This window comes from Homo sapiens, chromosome 19 (assembly GCF_000001405.40).
Source record: "Homo sapiens chromosome 19, GRCh38.p14 Primary Assembly".
Lineage (NCBI taxonomy): Eukaryota > Metazoa > Chordata > Mammalia > Primates > Hominidae > Homo > Homo sapiens.
Genome location: NC_000019.10, coordinates 13,683,898 through 13,701,610, shown reverse-complemented (window position 1 = coordinate 13,701,610; position 17,713 = coordinate 13,683,898). Strand labels below are relative to the sequence as shown.

Below are 17,713 nucleotides of genomic sequence, written 5' to 3'. Positions count from 1 at the left end.
TGCAGCAGAATTGAATTCTAACTGATACATGTATTCACATGCTGAAAGGGAAAAAAATGACTATTACTAAAATACTTCCTCTTCCCTCTTTTTCTCTCCTCCTCCTTCTATTCTTTTCCCTCCCGCTCCTTCTATTCTTTTCCTCCTCCTCTTTCTTCTTTGCTAAAATGTGCTTAAAGGGTCTGGATATTCTGGCCGGGCACGGCGGCTCATGCCTGTAATCCCAGCACTTTGGGAGGCTGAGGCGGGCAGATCACTTGAGGCCAGGAGTTCGAGACCAGCCTGGCCCACGTGGTGAAACCCCATCTCTGCTGAAAATACAAAAAATTAGCCAGGCGTGGTGGCACATGCTTGTAATCTTGTAATCCCAGCTGCTTGGGAGGCTGAGGCAGGAGAATTGCTTGAACCCAGGAGGCAGAGGTTGCAATGAGCCGAGATGAGCCAATGCAGTCCAGCCTGGGCGACAAGAGTGAAATTCCATCTCAAAAAACAAAACAAAACAAAAAACAAAAAGGGTCTGGATACTCCTTGCTGAGTTGTGGCTAGAATCAAGTTAGACAACGGTCTTGGGGCCCATGAAATAATGCCTAGCACCTAGAAAGGACCCAGAAATTAGCAGTTGTTACTATTCTAAAATAGAATAAGTCAGAAATTACGCTTCCTGGTAATGGAATACTTTTCAGTGCGCTATGCTCCGTATTTTGATTAATCCGTGGCTCAGTGCGACTCTCCCAGGGGAAATAATGAACCATATTTTGCTTTTCAAACATCCCTGGCATTTAGCTATTTATTCTTGTTATGTGAAACCCCTAGACGGTCTGCTTATTTAATTGCCCTGATTGGAGCTGTAAGAAATTACGTTGAACATCTGTAAGCAAGGTTTTTATGACACAGGCTTTTGACTAACAGAAGAGAATGTTATGGTCCCCATTTTGACTAGGGAGAGCCTCTTTCAGTTCGTTCCCATGTTCATCTGACAAAAACACTCCTTTAGTCTTTAAAGGCGTTTTCCTTGTTTTCTGATACAAGTAGATATTCTGAACTCTGCCTGTTCATTTCCAGGGCACAGATTTTTGTTTTGGTCGTTCTTGTAGTCTCAGGGCTGAGAACAGAGCCTGACACTGACTGACTGACTGACTGACTGACTGAATGAATGAATGAATTTTTGCATTTCACTCCTTCCTCTGCTTCTTCCCCCATAACTCAATTTTCACCATTGATTAAGTCAGAAATCAGAACTGAGACATTACTGGGCCACTCCAAAGGCTCTCTGAGGTGCCACCTGCCCCCCGACACCCCTTCATTGCAGCTCAGCCCAGCTGGGCCCCAACTCCAGGATCCTAAGGCTAAAAATACCTCAGTGCAGCCTTAACAGCTCCCAGCATCCTGGCTATTTTTAGGATACAGGAAAGGATGAGGGATAAATGTGACTGAGGGTCACCTCCAGGGAGGAACATCTCCTTCCACCATCCAGAAATGGCCACACCTGGGAAAGACTCAAATCCAAGAAGTAGATGATCACACGATATGCTTTCCTTCAATTCTGGATTTTGAATGCCTGCCGGGCAGCTGGCATGCTCTGCTGGAGATGAAAGGAAACAGTGTTGCAGAGTCAAATCAGAGAAGCCACGAAGATTCTATGCAGCCTCTGAACTTTTATTACCAACTGCTGAGCAGTAGTTATTGGATAACTCAAGGAATACAATTGTCCCTTAGTGTCCAAGGAGGATTAGTTTCAGGACCCCTGCAGATACCAAAATCTGTGGATGCTCAAGTCCCTGACATAAAACAGCATAGTATTTGCATATAAATTATGCATATTCGTCTATATACTTTTTTTTTTTTTTTGAGATGGAGTTTTGCTCTTGTCGCCCAGGCTGGAGTGCAATGGTGCGATCTCGGCTCACTGCAACCTCTGCCTCCCGGGTTCAAGTGATTCTCCTGCCTCAGCCTCCTGAGTAGCTGGGATTACAGGCACCCACCACCATGTCCAGCTAATTTTTTTTGTATTTTTAGTAGATACAGGGTTTCACCATGTTGGCTAGGCTGGTCTTGAACTCCTGACCTCAGGTGATCCACCCACTTCGGCCTCCCAAAGTGCTGGGATTGCAGGCATGAGCCATGGTGCGTGGCCTCCGTCTGTATACTTTATTTTAATTTTATTTTATTGAGATGGAGTGTCCCTCTGTCGCCCAGGCTGGAGTGCAGTGGCTCGATCTTGGCTCACTGCAACCTCTGCCTCCTGGGCTCAAGCAATTCTCCTGCCTCAGCCTCCTGAGTAGCTGGGACTACATGCGCCCGCCACCATGCCCAGCTAATTTTTGTATTTTTAGTAGACATGGGGTTTCACCATGTTAGCCAGGCTGATCTCGAACTCCTGACCTCATGATCCGCCTGCCTCGGCCTCACAAAATGCTGGGATTACAGGCGGGAGCCACCATGCCCGGCCCTTGCCTGCTTCTTTCTTTGGAAATCACAATAAAGACCTTTGCCTATGTTTTCCCCACTACCTCTGCCTCCTGACCAACCCTGGTGCTTTCTCATGTGTCCCTGTATGGCATGGAGTGCCCCGTCCTCTCGGGAAGAGTGAATAACAAACTTTTGTGTTTTCTAATGGCAGTCATATCCTGATCTGTTGGCCTCACCATACATGAATAATAATAAAACGTATTTTTTATTTTTATTTTTATTTTTATTTTGAGGCAGAGTCTCACTCTGTCACCCAGGCCAGAGTGCAGTGGTGTGATCTTTGCTCACTGAATCCTCCACCTCCTGGGCTCAGGCGATCCTCCCACCTCAGCCTCCCGAGTAGCTGAGACCACAGGTGCTGCGCCACCAATGCCTGGCTAATTTTTTGTATTTTTTTGGTAGAGACAAGGTTTTGCCATGTTGCCCAGGCTGATCTTGAACTCCTGAGCTCAAGCTATACGCGTGCCTCAGCCTCCCAAAGTGCTGCGATTACAGGTGTGAGCCACTGCTCCTCGCCCTCAAAAATCATATGTTTTATTTTATTTTTTGAGATGGAGTTTTGCTCTTGTTGCTCAGCCTGGAGTGCAATGGCGCGATCTCCAACTGCAATTAACTAGGTATAGTGGCGCACGCCTGTAGTCCCAGCTACTCAGGAGGTTGAGGTAGGAGAATCGCTTGAACCCGGGAGGCGGAGGTTACAGTGAGCTGAGATTGCACCACTGCACTCCAGCCTGGGTGACAGATCAAGACTCTGTCTCAATAAATAAAATAATAAATAAATAAATACATTCTTTATGGTTACCTTGAAAATTGTCTTCTGGAAAAGCCTTGTTAATGCCCAGTTATTTACAGATTATTTCACTGCAAATTTCAGATGGCAGGGTATATCAGTCAAGGTTTTTGTTTGCAACAGGAGTGAGTTCTGTGGATCTTCAATTTAAGGAATGGGTTTTATGGAAACAAGTGCAGATGTTCACAGAATAGACAAGAAGCTGCAAAAACAGGCTTGGAGGAAGGGCATAAATTCTGGGAGCTCTGGGGGTCTAGTGAATACCATGAAGGTTATAAATTGTTGTAGCTGATACTAATGTTGAATTGCCCTAACCCTGGGAAGATACTACCAGCTACCAGTATTTGTATCTTCTTGCCCAAGGGATTTTTTTTTTTTTTTGAGACAGGGTCTTGCTCTGTCATCCAGGCTCCGTACAGTGGTGTGATCATAGCTCATCGCAGCCTCGACCTCCTGGGCTCAAGCGATCCTCCCACCTCAGCCTCTCAAAGTGCTGGGATTATAGGTATGAGCCACTCTACTCGGCCCCCAACAGCTTGCTTGCTTTCTTTTCTTCTTTTTTTTGGGACAGGGTCTTGCTCTGTCACCCAGGCCGAAGTGCAGTGGCACAGTCATAGCTCACTGCAACCTTGAGCTCCTAGGCTTAAGCTATCCATCCGCCTCAGCCTCCTGAGTAGCTGAGACTGCAGGTGTGTGCTACCACGCCTGGCTATTTTTTTTTTTTTTTGAGATGGAGTCTTGCTCTGTTGCCCAGGCTGAAGTGCAATGGCATGATCTCAGCTCACTGCAATCTCTGCCTCCTGGGCTCAAGCGATTCTTCTGCCTCAGCCTCCCAAGTAGCTGGGATTATAGGCGCACGCCACTACGCCCAGCTAATTTTTGTATGTTTAGTAGAAATGGCGTTTCACCATGGTGGTCAGGCTGGTCTTGAACTCCTGACCTCAGGTGATCTGCCTACCTCGGCCTCCCAAAGTGCTAGGATTATAGGCATGAGCCACCACGCCTGGGCTATGCCTGGCTAATTTTTTTTTCATTTTTAGTAGAGATGGGGTCTTGCTATGTTGCCCAGACTAGTCTCAAACTGCTGGGCTCAAGCGATCCTCCTGCCTCAGTCTCTCAAAGTGCTGGGATTACAGGTGTGAGTCACTGTGCTTGGCCCCTGAGGGCTTTCTTTAAAGCTGCCAAAGACTGAATAGCAGAGTGGAAGTATCTGAGAATTAACAGCCACATTCTTCATTCCCTAATAAGCCCCCCTAATCAGTGACCAATGGGAGCTGGTGGATAAATACCCCAGCTCCCTCTCCCCTCAAGTGGGATGACTCTAAGGTGTGTGTTCCACTCAGTCCCCAGCATTTTCCAGCATGACTGAACCCCTGTTGCCCACAGAGGTAACTTGCTCATCATGCACCTTTATGGACTGCCCTCTCTTCTCTGTGTCACACCCCTATTCCCCTACTGGTATCTCCTGGCGTCTCCCTTAAACAAACTACTTGCCCATTGAGTCCTTGGGTCATTGTCTACTTCTGGGAGAACCTAAGTGAAGACAATTGCATTCCATGGTAGAAGTCTGCAGACCCATGAATTTAGGTGTCAATGTTAGCACCTAGAGGTTCCTTGGAATTCTCCCCGTCACTTGGGGACAGTATTCCTCCAAGATAGGAGCCAGGTAGGGTGGAGGTCTCTAGGCCTGAAAGCCAGCTCTGTTCAGTTTCCTTCCTTGATATTGTGGGAGAAAAGCCTTTAGCAGAGTTCAGCACATCCCTTCTCCTGGTCACTTGTGTGTTATGCCAAACTTCCATGCGCATTCACGCTGGATAAAAAGTTCATAGGAGGTTCATCCTTGGCATGTCTGTATTAGATAAACCTTCCTCCTTGGATCCCAGCTAGAGAGTTCAGAGCCAAGGTCTCATGGCAAACAGCTCTGACTACATGCCATCTCTGCCACTGTTCTACAAACATTCTCAAATGACACTGGGACACTCACCTAGGAGCCAAAGCAATGAGCTTTGGGTTGACCAAGTGTGTGTCACAGGCTTGCCCTGGGAGGCTAGTGTTGGGAACAGTCCTTGTGTTAAGACAACTTTCAGCTGGACAATTCCCCCCAAAAAGGGAAGTCTGAATGCTAATGGGAAGGTGTGGTATAGCCAGAAATATAGCCAATGTCATCTACCCAAGGGGAAGGAGGGCTTGTCACTTTCATGATTTCTTTTTTGTATTTACATTGCAGCCTATGACAGGCCCAAGAGCTGAGGACCCACCTAAGATGTTCCCAGATTCCTGACCCTCAGAAACTATTAGATAATAGATACGTGTTATTTAATGTCACTGAAGTTTTGAGGTAATTTGTTATGCAGCAATAGCTAACTAATACAGTGCTCATTATCACACCTTTTATTGGCTTCCTTTTCCTGTCTGCCTTTCTTTTTTCTTTTTTTTTTTTTTTTTTTTTTGAGACAGAGTCTCGCTCTGTCTCCCAGGCTGGAGTGCAGTGGCACAATCTCAGTTCACTGCAACCTCTGCCTCAGCCTCCTGAGTAGATGGGATTACAGGCATGCACCACCACGCCCAGCTAGTTATTTGTATTTTTAGTAGAGACGGGACTTCACCATGTTGACCAGACTGGTCTCAAACTCCTTGACCTCAAGTGATCTGCCTGCCTTGGCCTCCCAAAGTGCTGGGATTACAGGCGCCGGCCAGCATCAGCTTCCTGATCCCTGAATTGCAGTCCTGGAGTTGTGGTTTTGAACTTAACCTTTTGGGCAATGGCCCCTCAATTTCCTCCTGTATTAATGAATTAAGGCAACCACTGCTGCTGTAACGCCTAAATCCCTTAACTCCAGTGTGTTTTAAGACAATAGAAGTTATTTACCAGAAATTGACAAAAAAGAGACAATAGAAGGAAGATTTTGCTCATGTGAAGTTGTGGTGGGGTGGAAGCATCTTAGACTGCAGGACATTTCTGAGAGACTTTGGCCAGGCCATTGAGCCAAAGTTGCTTGTCCCAGAAGATTTCTGAGTCTCTCAGGACCTGGCTTGCCACAGTGTCCCTGCTCTGCTCAGGCCCGGGTGAGGAGCAGCCCTTGGGAAACATGGCCTCAGTTCCTATGACGTGCTGGACTTCAGAGCCCAGCAGCTGGGGTGCTTGTTCAATCACACTTCTTGCAGATCCCAGAGGTGCATTTTCATGATCATCGGCCCATGATTTCAGAAATCCAAGGTCTTTCCATCTTGAGGCTCCACCATAGCCAAAGCCTTGGAATTTTGCTTTCAGTGGATGGAGACACAGAATTAGAGCGTATGGAGCATCTATGGGAGGGTTTTTATTTTTATTTTTATTTTTATTTTTGTTTTGAGACAGAGTTTCACTCTTGTCGCCCAGGCTGGAGTGCAATGGTGCGATCTCGGTTCACTGCAACCTCCGCCCTCCCAGGTTCAAGCAATTCTCCTGACTCAGCCTCCTGAGTAGCTGGGACTATAGGCACGCACCACCACACCTGGCTAATTTTTGTATTTTTAGTAGAAACTGGGTTTCACCATGTTGGCCAGGCTGGTCTTAAACTCCTGACCTCAGGTGATCCACCCACCTCAGCCTCCCAAAATGCTGGGATTACAGGCCTGAGCCACCGTGCCCAGCCTAAAACATTTTTAAACAGGCTTTTTTAGGCCAGGCACGGTGGCTTAAGCCTGTAATCCCAGCACTTTGGGAGGCCGAGGCGGGTGGATGACCTGAGGTCAGGAGTTTGAGACCAGCCTGGCCAACATGGTGAAACCCCATCTCTACTAAAAATACAAAAAATTACCGGGCGTGGTGGCAGGCACCTGTAATCCCAGCTACTTAGGAGGCTGAGGCAGGAGAATCGCTTGAACCCGGGAGGCGGAGGTTGCAGTGAGCTGAGATCCCACCACTGCACTCCAGCCTGGGCAACAAGAGCGAAACTCTGTCTCAAAAAAAAAAAAAGGCTTTTTTTCTCTGTAAGTTAACTCTACCTGATCCATGGAGTCTTTTGGTTTCTATTTCTCTATTGTTGGGTCACAAAAGCCTAGTACTGCTCATGTAGCAAGATTTTCATCCCCAGCAACTCAAGGTCACACCTATTCCCTCACCCTCATCACTTTAGCAAACATTAGCTTCATTTCCGGCTCCCAAGACCTGCTCTGAGCACCTGCCTTTCTTTCCCTGGGGGCTTTCTCTTGCAGCCAGGGTCTGTTTTGTCTTCACTGTGACAGCCAGAAGTGCTGGGGAATCTAAGTCCCCCAGGTGCCGTCTTCCTGCTAATGACTGACAGAGGTCACGGATCCATCCTCCAGCTCCCTTGCCCCTCCAGTGGGATAACTGTCAGGTGGATTTCCACCTCCCATTTCCCAGGGGATTAAGCCCTTATTGCCCACAGCAGTAACTCACTAAGGATGTATCCTTTGCTAGCTGCCTTCTCTTCCCCTCTTTCTTGCTTATTCTCTACCGATGCTTCCTAGGGGCTATTTCCTAAATAGTCTACTTATCCTCAAATCCTTGTCGCAGGCTTGGCTCCTGGGGGAATTCAAATTAAGACATTCTCAAAGTAGGTAAGTAGATTGAGCTTCTTAAGTCTATGCAACTCGAACATGATTATTTGTGTGTGTGTGTGTGTGTGTGTGTGTGTGTAGAAAGTATAACTTAAGCCGGGTGCAGTGGCTCATGCCTGTAATCCCAGCACTTTTAGAGGCCAAGGCAGGGGGATTGCTTGAGGTCAGGAGTCCAAGACCAGCCTGGGCAACAAGCAAGACCCTATCTCTAAAAAATAAAAAATAAATGAGCCCAGTGAGGTAGTGTGTGCTTGTAGTCCCAGCTCCTCTGGAGGCTGAGGTGGGAGGATCACTTGAGCCCAGCAGTTTGAGGTTACGATGAGCTATGATTGTGCCACTGCACTGTAGCCTGAGCAACAGAGTGGGACCTTGTCTCTAAATAATAATAATAAAGACAGCAGGCTGGGCACGGTGGCTTAAGGCTGGGCATGGTGGCTCATGCCTGTATCCCAGCACTTTGGGAGGTTGAGGCGGATGGATCGTCTGAGGTCAGGAGTTGGAGACCAGCCTGGCCAACATGGTGGAACCCCATCTCTACTAAAAATACGAAAATTAGCCTGGCATGGTGGCAGCCGCCTGTAATCCCAGCTACTCAGGAGGCTGAGGCAGGAGAATCACTTGAAGCAGGGAGGCGGAGGTTTCAGTGAGGCGAGATTGTGCCACTGCACTCCAGCCTGGGCGACACAAGAGTGAAACTCCATCTTAAAAAAAAAAGGAAAGCACAAGTTCAAAAGGTAAAACCTTACGAAGAGTTGAAATTGCCCCAGTAAAATTTTGTCTTACTCAGGAGACTGAGGTATGAGGATTACTTGAGCCCAGGAGGTTGAGGCTGCAGTGAGCTATGTTTGCACCATTGCACTCCTGCGTAGGGGACGGAGTGAGAACCTGTCTCAAAAAAAAAAAAAAAAAAAAAGAAAAAAGACTTTGTTTTGCAGTCTCCTATAGCACATGGAATAGGACCCCAGTAGAGCTGTGTATTCTAGAAATGGTTGGGTTGGTTTGTGATTTGAAGTGGGGGAAAGAAAACCAAGGAGATGTTTTCACCAGCAACCTGGAATTGCTAACAATTCTTTTAATACTTTGAAATGGGTCGTGGAGGAGTTGGCAGCTCCCCACCTCCCTTCAGCATGCAACTGGATGGAACGGCAGACGTTTCTGAGCACAAAGAACATCCACACATCCATTATGCACCCGCTGACACCATCAAAGGAGAATCTCCATCTTTTGACCCCATTTTGGAAACTAGCAGGCTGTCAATATCTGTTAAAGGGCTGAACGGTTTCTTTGCCAAACACGACTTCAACTGGTAGAAAACTGTCGGTCTTCCAGCTCAGGAGCACCTGGGATGCTTGGCACCCCACCTGGCTTGGCTGCTTTGGGGGATCATGGAGTGCCACCTGCCCTCCTGAGTCACAGCCTCTCTGTGGGCACACGCCATTGTCAGAGATGCCAGCTCACTGACGGATGTCTCATTGCAGCTGCACCAACCACTGACTTGAGTCTTGAGTCACTGCCTGTTCAAGGGCCAAGAAATAGAAGCAGAAAATGGATTCTTTTCTATTTCACAGAAGTTGGCTGGCTTTCAAGGCGAGTGTGCTTTTAAGACAAATGCTTGATTGGGTTTTGGGCACAAGTTTCTCCGTTTTTTTGCTCACTCTCGGAGCAATTTGACAAGGACACCAACCAGGGCTTGGCAGTGCCCTGGGACCAACTGGATGAGGAGAAATCAAAGCCCTACAGTCACTATTAGGGATTCTTTGAAACATCTGGGATTTCTTTTGGCCAAATTACCAGGCTGTGAGAGGAGATTGGAGATAATTCCGTGGAAATTTTTAACTCTAGCAGAAGACATCTGCAGGCTGGCGTAGAGTGAGAGAAATCTGCAGATGTATGATTAAAGTTTGCTTCCCCCATTACAACAGAAATGTATAAGCTGTTTCTTGCTGATACAGCATCAGAGTAGCAGGCAGTGTGGGCAGCCACACCCGGACCTCACCCCACCTCAGTGCATCCATCCCCTGGTTTCTTAATGCTTACATGCTACCTGCTCACACCTGTGACCTTCAGAGGTTGTTCTTGGGCCCTGGAGCTGCCCTGCCCATATGGAGGGCCAGAGTGCCTTGGAGCCTACCTTGCTCAACCTTCCCTGGCAGCCAATCATCAATAGGTTTAGGGGTCAGTTATGGACTAAATGTTTGTGTGCCCTCCAAATCCCTGTGCCCCACAATGTGACTGTATTCAGAGATAAGACTTTTAGGAGGCAATTAAGTTAAATGAAGTATTCAGGGTGGGGCCCTGATCCAATAGGATTAGCATCCTTATAAAAAGAGGCAGCAGACCAAGGTGCGGTGGCTGGCATATGTAATCCCAGTGCTTTGGGAGGCTGAGGTGGAAGGATTGCTTGAGCCCAGGAGTTTGAGACCAGCCTAGGCAACATAGTGAGACCATCTCTACAAAAATACATGAAAAAATAATTAGCCAGGTGTGGTAGTGTACATCTGTAATCATAGCTACTGGAGACGCTGAGGTGGGAGAATTCTTTGAGCCCAGGAATTAAAGGCTGCAGTGAGCTATGATTCTACCACTGCACTCCAGCTTGGGCAATAGGGCAAGACCCTGTCTCTTAAAAAGAGAGAGAGAGGCCGGGTACAGTGGCTCATGACTGTAATCCCAGCACTTTGAGGGGCCGAGGAGGGTGGATCATTTGAGGTCGGGAGTTTGAGACCAGCCTGGCCAAGATGGTGAAACCCCATCTCCACTAAAAATACAAAAATTAGCCAGGCGCGGTGATGCATGCTTGTAATCCCAGCTACTTGGGAGGCGGAGGCAGGAGAATCACTTGAACTTGGGAGGCAGAGGTTGCAGTGAGCCGAGATTGCGCCATTGCACTCCAGCCTGGGCGACAGAGTGAGACTCTGTCTCAAAACAGACAAACAACAAACAAACAAACAAAAATAGAGAGAGAGAGACACCAGAGAGTTACTTCTGTTTCTGTCTCTCTCTTCATGCATGAGAGAAAGGCCATGTGGGGACACATGAGAAGGTAGTTGTCTATAGCCCAAGGGGAGAGCCCTCTGCAGACATTGACTTTGCTGGCACCTTGAACTTGAACTTCTCAGCCTCCAAAACTGTGAGAGGATAAATTTCTCTTAAGTCACTAAGTCTGTGGCATTTTGTTGTAGCAGCCCAAGCTGATGAATACAGGGTCCAAAGCCCTTCTCCTTTGTCTCTAGGTGGGACCAGCTTTGGGGTATAGTTTGCGCTCCAGGGGTCCCTGGCTGGAACAGTCTGGGTGTGAAACTTCACTTGGTATTGAATGTTTGTTTTGCTTCTTTGTTTTCCCTGTCCTGCTTTCCCCACCATCCCCTTATTGATTACCCTGGGAATACTTCTTTTTTCTTTTTTTTTGTTTTTTGAGACCACATCTCACTCTGTCGCTCAGGCTGGAGTGCAGTGGTGTGATCTTGGCTCACTGCAACCTCCGCCTTATGGGTTCAAGTGATTCTCCTGCCTCAGCCTCCCAAGTAGCTGGGATTACAGGCACCCACCACCACACCCGGCTAATTTTTGTATTTTTAGTAGATACGAGGTTTCGCCGTGTTGGCCAGGCTGGTCTTGAACTCCTGACCTCAGGTGATCCACCCGCCTTAGCCTCCCAAAGTGCTAGGATTACAGGTGTAAGCCACCGCGCCCAGCTAGGAACACTTCTTTTTTTTTTATTTTTTATTTTTATTATTATACTTTAAGTTCTAAGGTACATGTGCACAACGTGCAGGTTTGTTACATATGTATACATGTGCCATGTTGGTGTGCTGCACCCATTAACTCATCATTTACGTTAGGTATATCTCCTAATGCTATCCCTCCCCCCTCCCCCTACCCCATGACAGGTCTTGGTGTGTGATGTTCCCCTTCCTGTGTCCAAGTGTTCTCATTGTTCAATTCCCACCTATGAGTGAGAACAGGCGGTGTTTGGTTTTCTGTCCTTGCGATAGTTTGCTGAGAAGGGAACACTTCTTAATAAATTATTTGCACCCAGATCCTTGTCTCAGGGACTGCTTTTGGGAGAATCTGACCTAAGAAAATCAGTGATGGAGAACTTTGCCAAAGATAACCTCAGTACTGAGCTGAGGACAAAGGAACTGTCAGGACATGCATTCAACTTGCAGAGTTTTGGTAGTTCCTATTAATGGCTGTTCTGATTCTCCTTGGGTATTAGTTAGACTAAGGAATGCCAGCTGCTGCAATAGTTAAGTCCTGAAATCTAGTGGCTTAATAAAACAAAGGCTTATTTCTCACTCATACACAGTCTGAGATAGGTTGGCCAGCCCTCTTCTCCCATCTAGAACATATGGTTTCCAAGGTTATTGGGCAGGGGGAAGAGGGAGAGAGGAGGAATGCCAGTTTTTCACTGCCTCAGTCTGGAAATGGCATGCATCATTTATGCTCACAGCCCATTGGCCAAAACTAATCACATGATGCTAATCAAAGCGCAAGGGATACTGGGAAATGTAGGCAGCACATGGGATATTTGAGGAGCTGCAGTTGTTCTTACAGTGGAGTTGCACCTTCTACAGGGTGTAGGTTAAGAAGGCAGGGACAGAGGCAAAAATGGCACGTGGCCCAAACTGCCTTTGAAGGCAACATTGCTATAAGAGTTGTAGGCTGGGTGCGGTGGCTCAGGCCTGTAATTCTAACACTTTGGGAGGCTGAGGTGGGAGAATTGCATGAGCCCAGAAGTTCAGCCTAGGCAACATAGTGAGACCCTGTATGTACAAAAAATAAAAAAAAATTAGCTAGGCATAGTAGTGTCTGCCTGTAGTCCCAGCTGCTCAGGTGGCTGAGTTGGGAAGATTGCTTGAGCCTGGGAGGTTGAGGCTGCAGTGAGCTATGATGGCACCACTCCCCTCCAGCCTTGGTGACAGAGTGAGATCATTTCAAAAAAAACAAACAGGCGGGGCATGGTGGCTCACACCTGTAATCCCAGCACTTTGTGAGGCTGAGGTGGGTGCATCACCTGAGGTCAGGAGTTTGAGACCAGCCTGGCCAACATGGTGAAACCCTGTCTCTACTAAAAATATAAAAAAATTAGCCAGATGTGGTGGCATGTACCTGTAATCCCAGCTACTCAGGAGGCTGAGGCAGGAGAATCGCTTGAACCCAGGAGGCGGGGGTTGCAGTGAGCTGAGATAATGCCACTGCACTGCAGCCTGGGTAATAGAGCAAAACTCTGTCTCAAAAACAAACAAACAAACAGACAATAAGAATTGTAGACTCTTATATAGTCTTTTATTACAAAGAAATAATAACAGAAAAATGTCTTCGCTTTTTTTGAGTAAAAAGTAATAAATCAACATTTTTGAAATTTTGCTAATAAAAACACCTAACATTTGGGTGCGCTTTTGTGAATTTCAAGGAGAAGACATATTATTTGGCTTGGATAAGCCGAATCAGATCCCAAAAAGCACTAATCATAAAGTAAAATACTGATTAATTAGACTTTATTAAAATTAAGAACTTTTATTCATCAGAGATCCCGTGAAGAGAGTGAAAAGTCAAGCCACAAACTGGGAGAAGACATTTGCATTATGTCTTGTCTCAAAGGACTCATATTCGGAATATATAAAGAACCCTCACAAATCAATAAGCCAGGTGAGTGAATAAGAAAGTGGGTGAAGACTTAAACAGGCACTTCACAAAACAAAGATGAAAAAGTGAGGCTGGGCACGGTGGCTCATGCCTGTAATCCCAGCACTTTGGGAGGTCAAGGCAGGCAGATCACTTGAGGTCAGGAATTCGAGACCAGTGTGGCCAACATGGCAAAACTCTGTCTCTATGAAAAATACAAAATTTAGCTGGGTGTGGTGGCGCACGCCTGTAATCCCAGCTACTTGGGAGGCTGAGGCACAAGAATCGCGTGAACCTGGGAGATGGAAGTTTCAGTGAGCTGAGATTGCACCACTGCACTCCAGCCTGGATGACAAAGCAAGGGTCCATCTCAAAAAAAAAGCAAAGAAGAAAAAGTGACCAATATACAATAAGGTACTTAACACCCTTGCAGAGTAGAGAAATACAAATTAACTATAACTCCATCAGAATGGCTAATATTAAAAGGACTGACCAGGCCAGGCCTGGTGGCTCACGCTTGTAATCCCAGCACTTTGGGAGGCCGAGATGGGAGGATCACCTGAGGTCAGGAGTTCGAGACCCGCCTGGCCAACATGGTGAAACCTCGTCTCTACTAAAAATACAAAAATTAGCCAGCCGTGGTGATGCGCACCTGTAATCCCAGCTACTGGGGAGGCTGAGGCATGAGAATTGCTTGAACCAAGGAGATGGAGGTTGCAGTGAGCTGAGATCGCACCACTGTACTCCAGCCTGGGTGACAAGAGTGAAACTCTGTCTCAAAATAAATAAATAAATAAATGGACTGACAACAAATACTAAGTTTGAGTGAAGATGTGGAGTGACGGGAAGGGATGCTCATACATTACTGATAGGAGTACAGCCACTTTGGAAAACTGGAAGGTTCCACTAAAGCTGAATATACATTTATCATATAATCTAGCAATTCTACAGCTAGGTATATGTCAATAGAAATAGGTGGTTATATGCACCAAAACACATGTAGAAGAATGTTTACAGCAGGCTTTTTAGCCAAAACTTGAAACTCAAATATCTATCAATAGTAGGATAATAATTTTTTTTTGAGACAGGGTCTCATTCTGTTCCCCAGGCTGGAGTGCAGTGGCATGAACGTGGCTCACTGCAGCCTCAACCTCCTGGGCTCAAGCAATCCTCCTGCCTCAGCCTCCTGAGTAGCTGGGACTACAGGCATGTGCCACCACACCCGGCTTTTAGGTGCATTTTCTTTTCTTATTTTTCTTTTTTTTTTTTTTTTTTTGAGACGGAGTTTCACTCTTGTTGCCCAGGCTGGAGTGCAATGGCACTATCTCGGCTCACCACAACCTCTGCCTCCTGGGTTCAAGCAATTCTCCTGCCTCAGCCTCGCAAGTAGCTGGGATTACAGGCATGTGCCACTGCACCCGGCTAATTTTGTATTTTCAGTAGAGACAGGGTTTCTCCATGTTGGTCAGGCTGGTTTCGAACTCCCAACCTCAGGCGATCCGTCTGCCTCAGCCTCCCAAAGTGCTGGGATTACAGACATGAGCCACCGTGCCCGGCCCTTTAGGTGCATTTTTGTATGAGATTTTATTTCTTTTGCTGGTGTTGGTTCTGGGTGCAAGTGATGAATGACGCTCTTGCGAGTGAATGTTGAGTGGTGTGTGGATAATGACTCAGTTAGGACTACAGGCACATGCCACCATGCCAGGCTAATTGTTTTAATTTTTTTTTTTTTTTGAGACAGTCTCTCTCTGTCTCCCAGGCTGGAGTGCAGTGGCACAATCTCAATTCTTCTGCCTCAGCCTCTGGAGTAGCTGAGACTGCAGGTGCACACCACCATGCCGGCTAATTTTTGTATTTTTAGTAGAGACAGGGTTTCCCCGTGTTGGCCAGGCTGGTCTGGAATTCCTGGCCTCAAGTGACCCGCCCTGCCTCAGCCTCCCAAGTGCTGGGATTACAGGCATGGGCCGCCCGGGCTTAATTTTTTTTTATTTTTATTTTTGCAGAGATGGAGTCTTCCTGTGTTGCCTAGGGTTGTCTCAAACTCCTGGCCTCGAGTAATCTTCCTGCCTTGGCCTCCCAAAATGCTGGGATTACAGCTGTTACTATAATAATGCCATGTAACAAACCACCCAAAACTCAGACTTGCTTCCTCACAATAAGCCTTTATTCTTATGCTCAGGGTTCTAAAGGTCCAGTTTGGCTTAGCTGATCCTCCATTCAAGACTTGGATAAATGACTCTGCTTCAGGCTGTTGGATTGGTTGGGTTCTGTCGGTGCCAAATCCAAGGTTGGGTTTACTCTGCTCCACATTTGATAATTCTCAGGATAAGGGTAAGCAATTCCCTGGGGCATGCTCTTCTCCTGGCAGAATACTTGAGTGAAAGAGCTCAGCTAAGCCCTGCGGGCACATTTACATCTGTTGTTCACATCTGCTGACATCCCATATGCCAGAGGAAGTCACATGACCAACCCCAGTATCAGTGTGGTGGGGAAATATACTCTACCCACGGTGGGAGGGCACAGTCACATGCAGAGTGCAGAGGTACTGCATTTCTGAAAATGCAATCTGGCCAGGCGTGGTGGCTCACACCTGTAATCCCAGCACTTTGGGAGGCCAAGGCGGGTGGATCACCTGAGGTCAGGAGTTCGAGACCAGACTGGCCAACATGGTGAAACCCCGTCTCTACTAAAAATACAAAAATTAGCCAGGATTGATGGTGGGTGCCTGTAATCCCAGCTACTCGGGAGGCTGAGGCAGGAGAATCGCTTAAATCCGGGAGGCGGAGGTTGCAGTGAGCCGAGATAGCACCACTGCACTCCAGCCTGGGGGACAGAGCGAGACTCTGTCTCATAAATAAATAAATAAAAAATGCGATCCTATCCACCATAGCTCTCATGGTGGTTACGGGAGAGGGGGAGATCCTGTGGGTGGCAGAACTGACAGATGGAGAGAGAGCGTGAGTCCTAATATTATCTTTGGCAGCCCTGGATCTAGCCATGTTTGAAGCCAGATTTATCCTTGGACATCTCAGAGTCACCAATAAGCTCCCCTGGCTCCTTCCTTTTTTTTTTTTTTTTTTTTTTGAGACAGGGTCTTGTTCTGCAGCCCAGGCTGGAGTGCAGTGGCTTGATCGTAGCCCACTGTAACTTTGAACTCCTGGGCTCCAGCAATCCTCTTGTCTTGAATAGTTAGGACTACAGGCACATGCCACCATGCTAATTGTTTTAATTTTTTTTTTTTTTGAGGCAGTCTCACTCTGTCACCCAGGCTGGAGTGCAGTGGCACAATCTCAGCTCATTGCAACCTCCACTTCTCAGGCTCAAGTGATTCTTCCTCAGCCTCCAGAGTAGCTGAAGCTACAGGTGCACACCACCATGCCGGCTAATTTTGTATTTTTAGTAGAGACAGGGTTTCCCCATGTTGGCCAGGCTGGTCTCGAATTCCTGGCCTCAAGTGATCTGCCTGCCTCGGCCTCCCAAGTGCTGAGATTACAGGCATGGGCAACCGCGCCCAGCCTTAATTTTTCTTTCTTTCTTTTTTTTTTTCTTCAGAGATGGGATCTTCCTGTGTTGCCTAGGGTTGTCTCAAACTCCTGGCCTCAAGTGATCTTCCTGCCTTGGCCTCCCAAAGTGCTGGGATTACAGGTATGAGCCACCGGAACCAGCCTTTGGTTTACTTTTAGAATGCGATGATTTTTCAGGCTGAAGTTGGGTTTGCAACAAGGATACATTTCCCAAGTGTTTTGGGTGCTGAAATGGTTTTTTGCTGTTGATTATAATATCTCTCCAGGCTGAGGGTGTTTCTTATTGTAGTCAATGTTTCCTGTTGAAACAGCACAGAATGACATGTCACCTTTCCCAAGAAGCCTCATTGAATGTTATTTTGGGTTACAGAGCCAGAGTAAGAAAAGATAGAGGGTGAGACAGCTGTCACAAGATCTCCAGAAAGTGGCATCATATTTCACAATTTCATGGTAACTGCTCCTTGGAAGCGTGACACCTGCCTAGGAGAAATTCAAAGCTTGAAAGAGAATTTGCCTATTAAGAAAACTGAATATATGAATTCAACTAATTTCCAGGAGAAGGGAACAGTACAGAAAGGGCAAAACATTTTTAGGAAGCTATTATTGGTTGTCATTTAGATACCTGAGACTAGAACTTGGGAATCTGGACAGTTTCTTTTTTTTCTGAGACGGAGTCTCACTCTGTCACCCAGGCTGGAGTGCAATGGAATGATCTTGGCTTACAGCAACTGCCGCCTCC

General features: G+C 46.9%; 1 long non-coding RNA gene across 3 annotated transcripts in view; it reads left to right on the top strand.

Annotated features, from left to right (window-relative positions):
• Positions 1–17,402, top strand: part of LOC105372284 (uncharacterized) — a 40,186-nt gene extending 22,784 nt beyond the window's left edge. For 2 of the 3 annotated variants that reach the window (XR_001754028.1, XR_936341.2), the window contains 3 exons: positions 13,354–13,474; positions 15,630–15,781; positions 17,345–17,402. This is a non-coding gene — a long non-coding RNA (uncharacterized LOC105372284). Of the gene's footprint in view, positions 1–13,353; positions 13,475–15,629; positions 15,782–17,002; positions 17,087–17,344 lie in introns of those variants that run through there. The other variant, XR_001754029.1, reaches the window with a different exon arrangement.
• Positions 17,403–17,713: the final 311 nt, after the last annotated feature.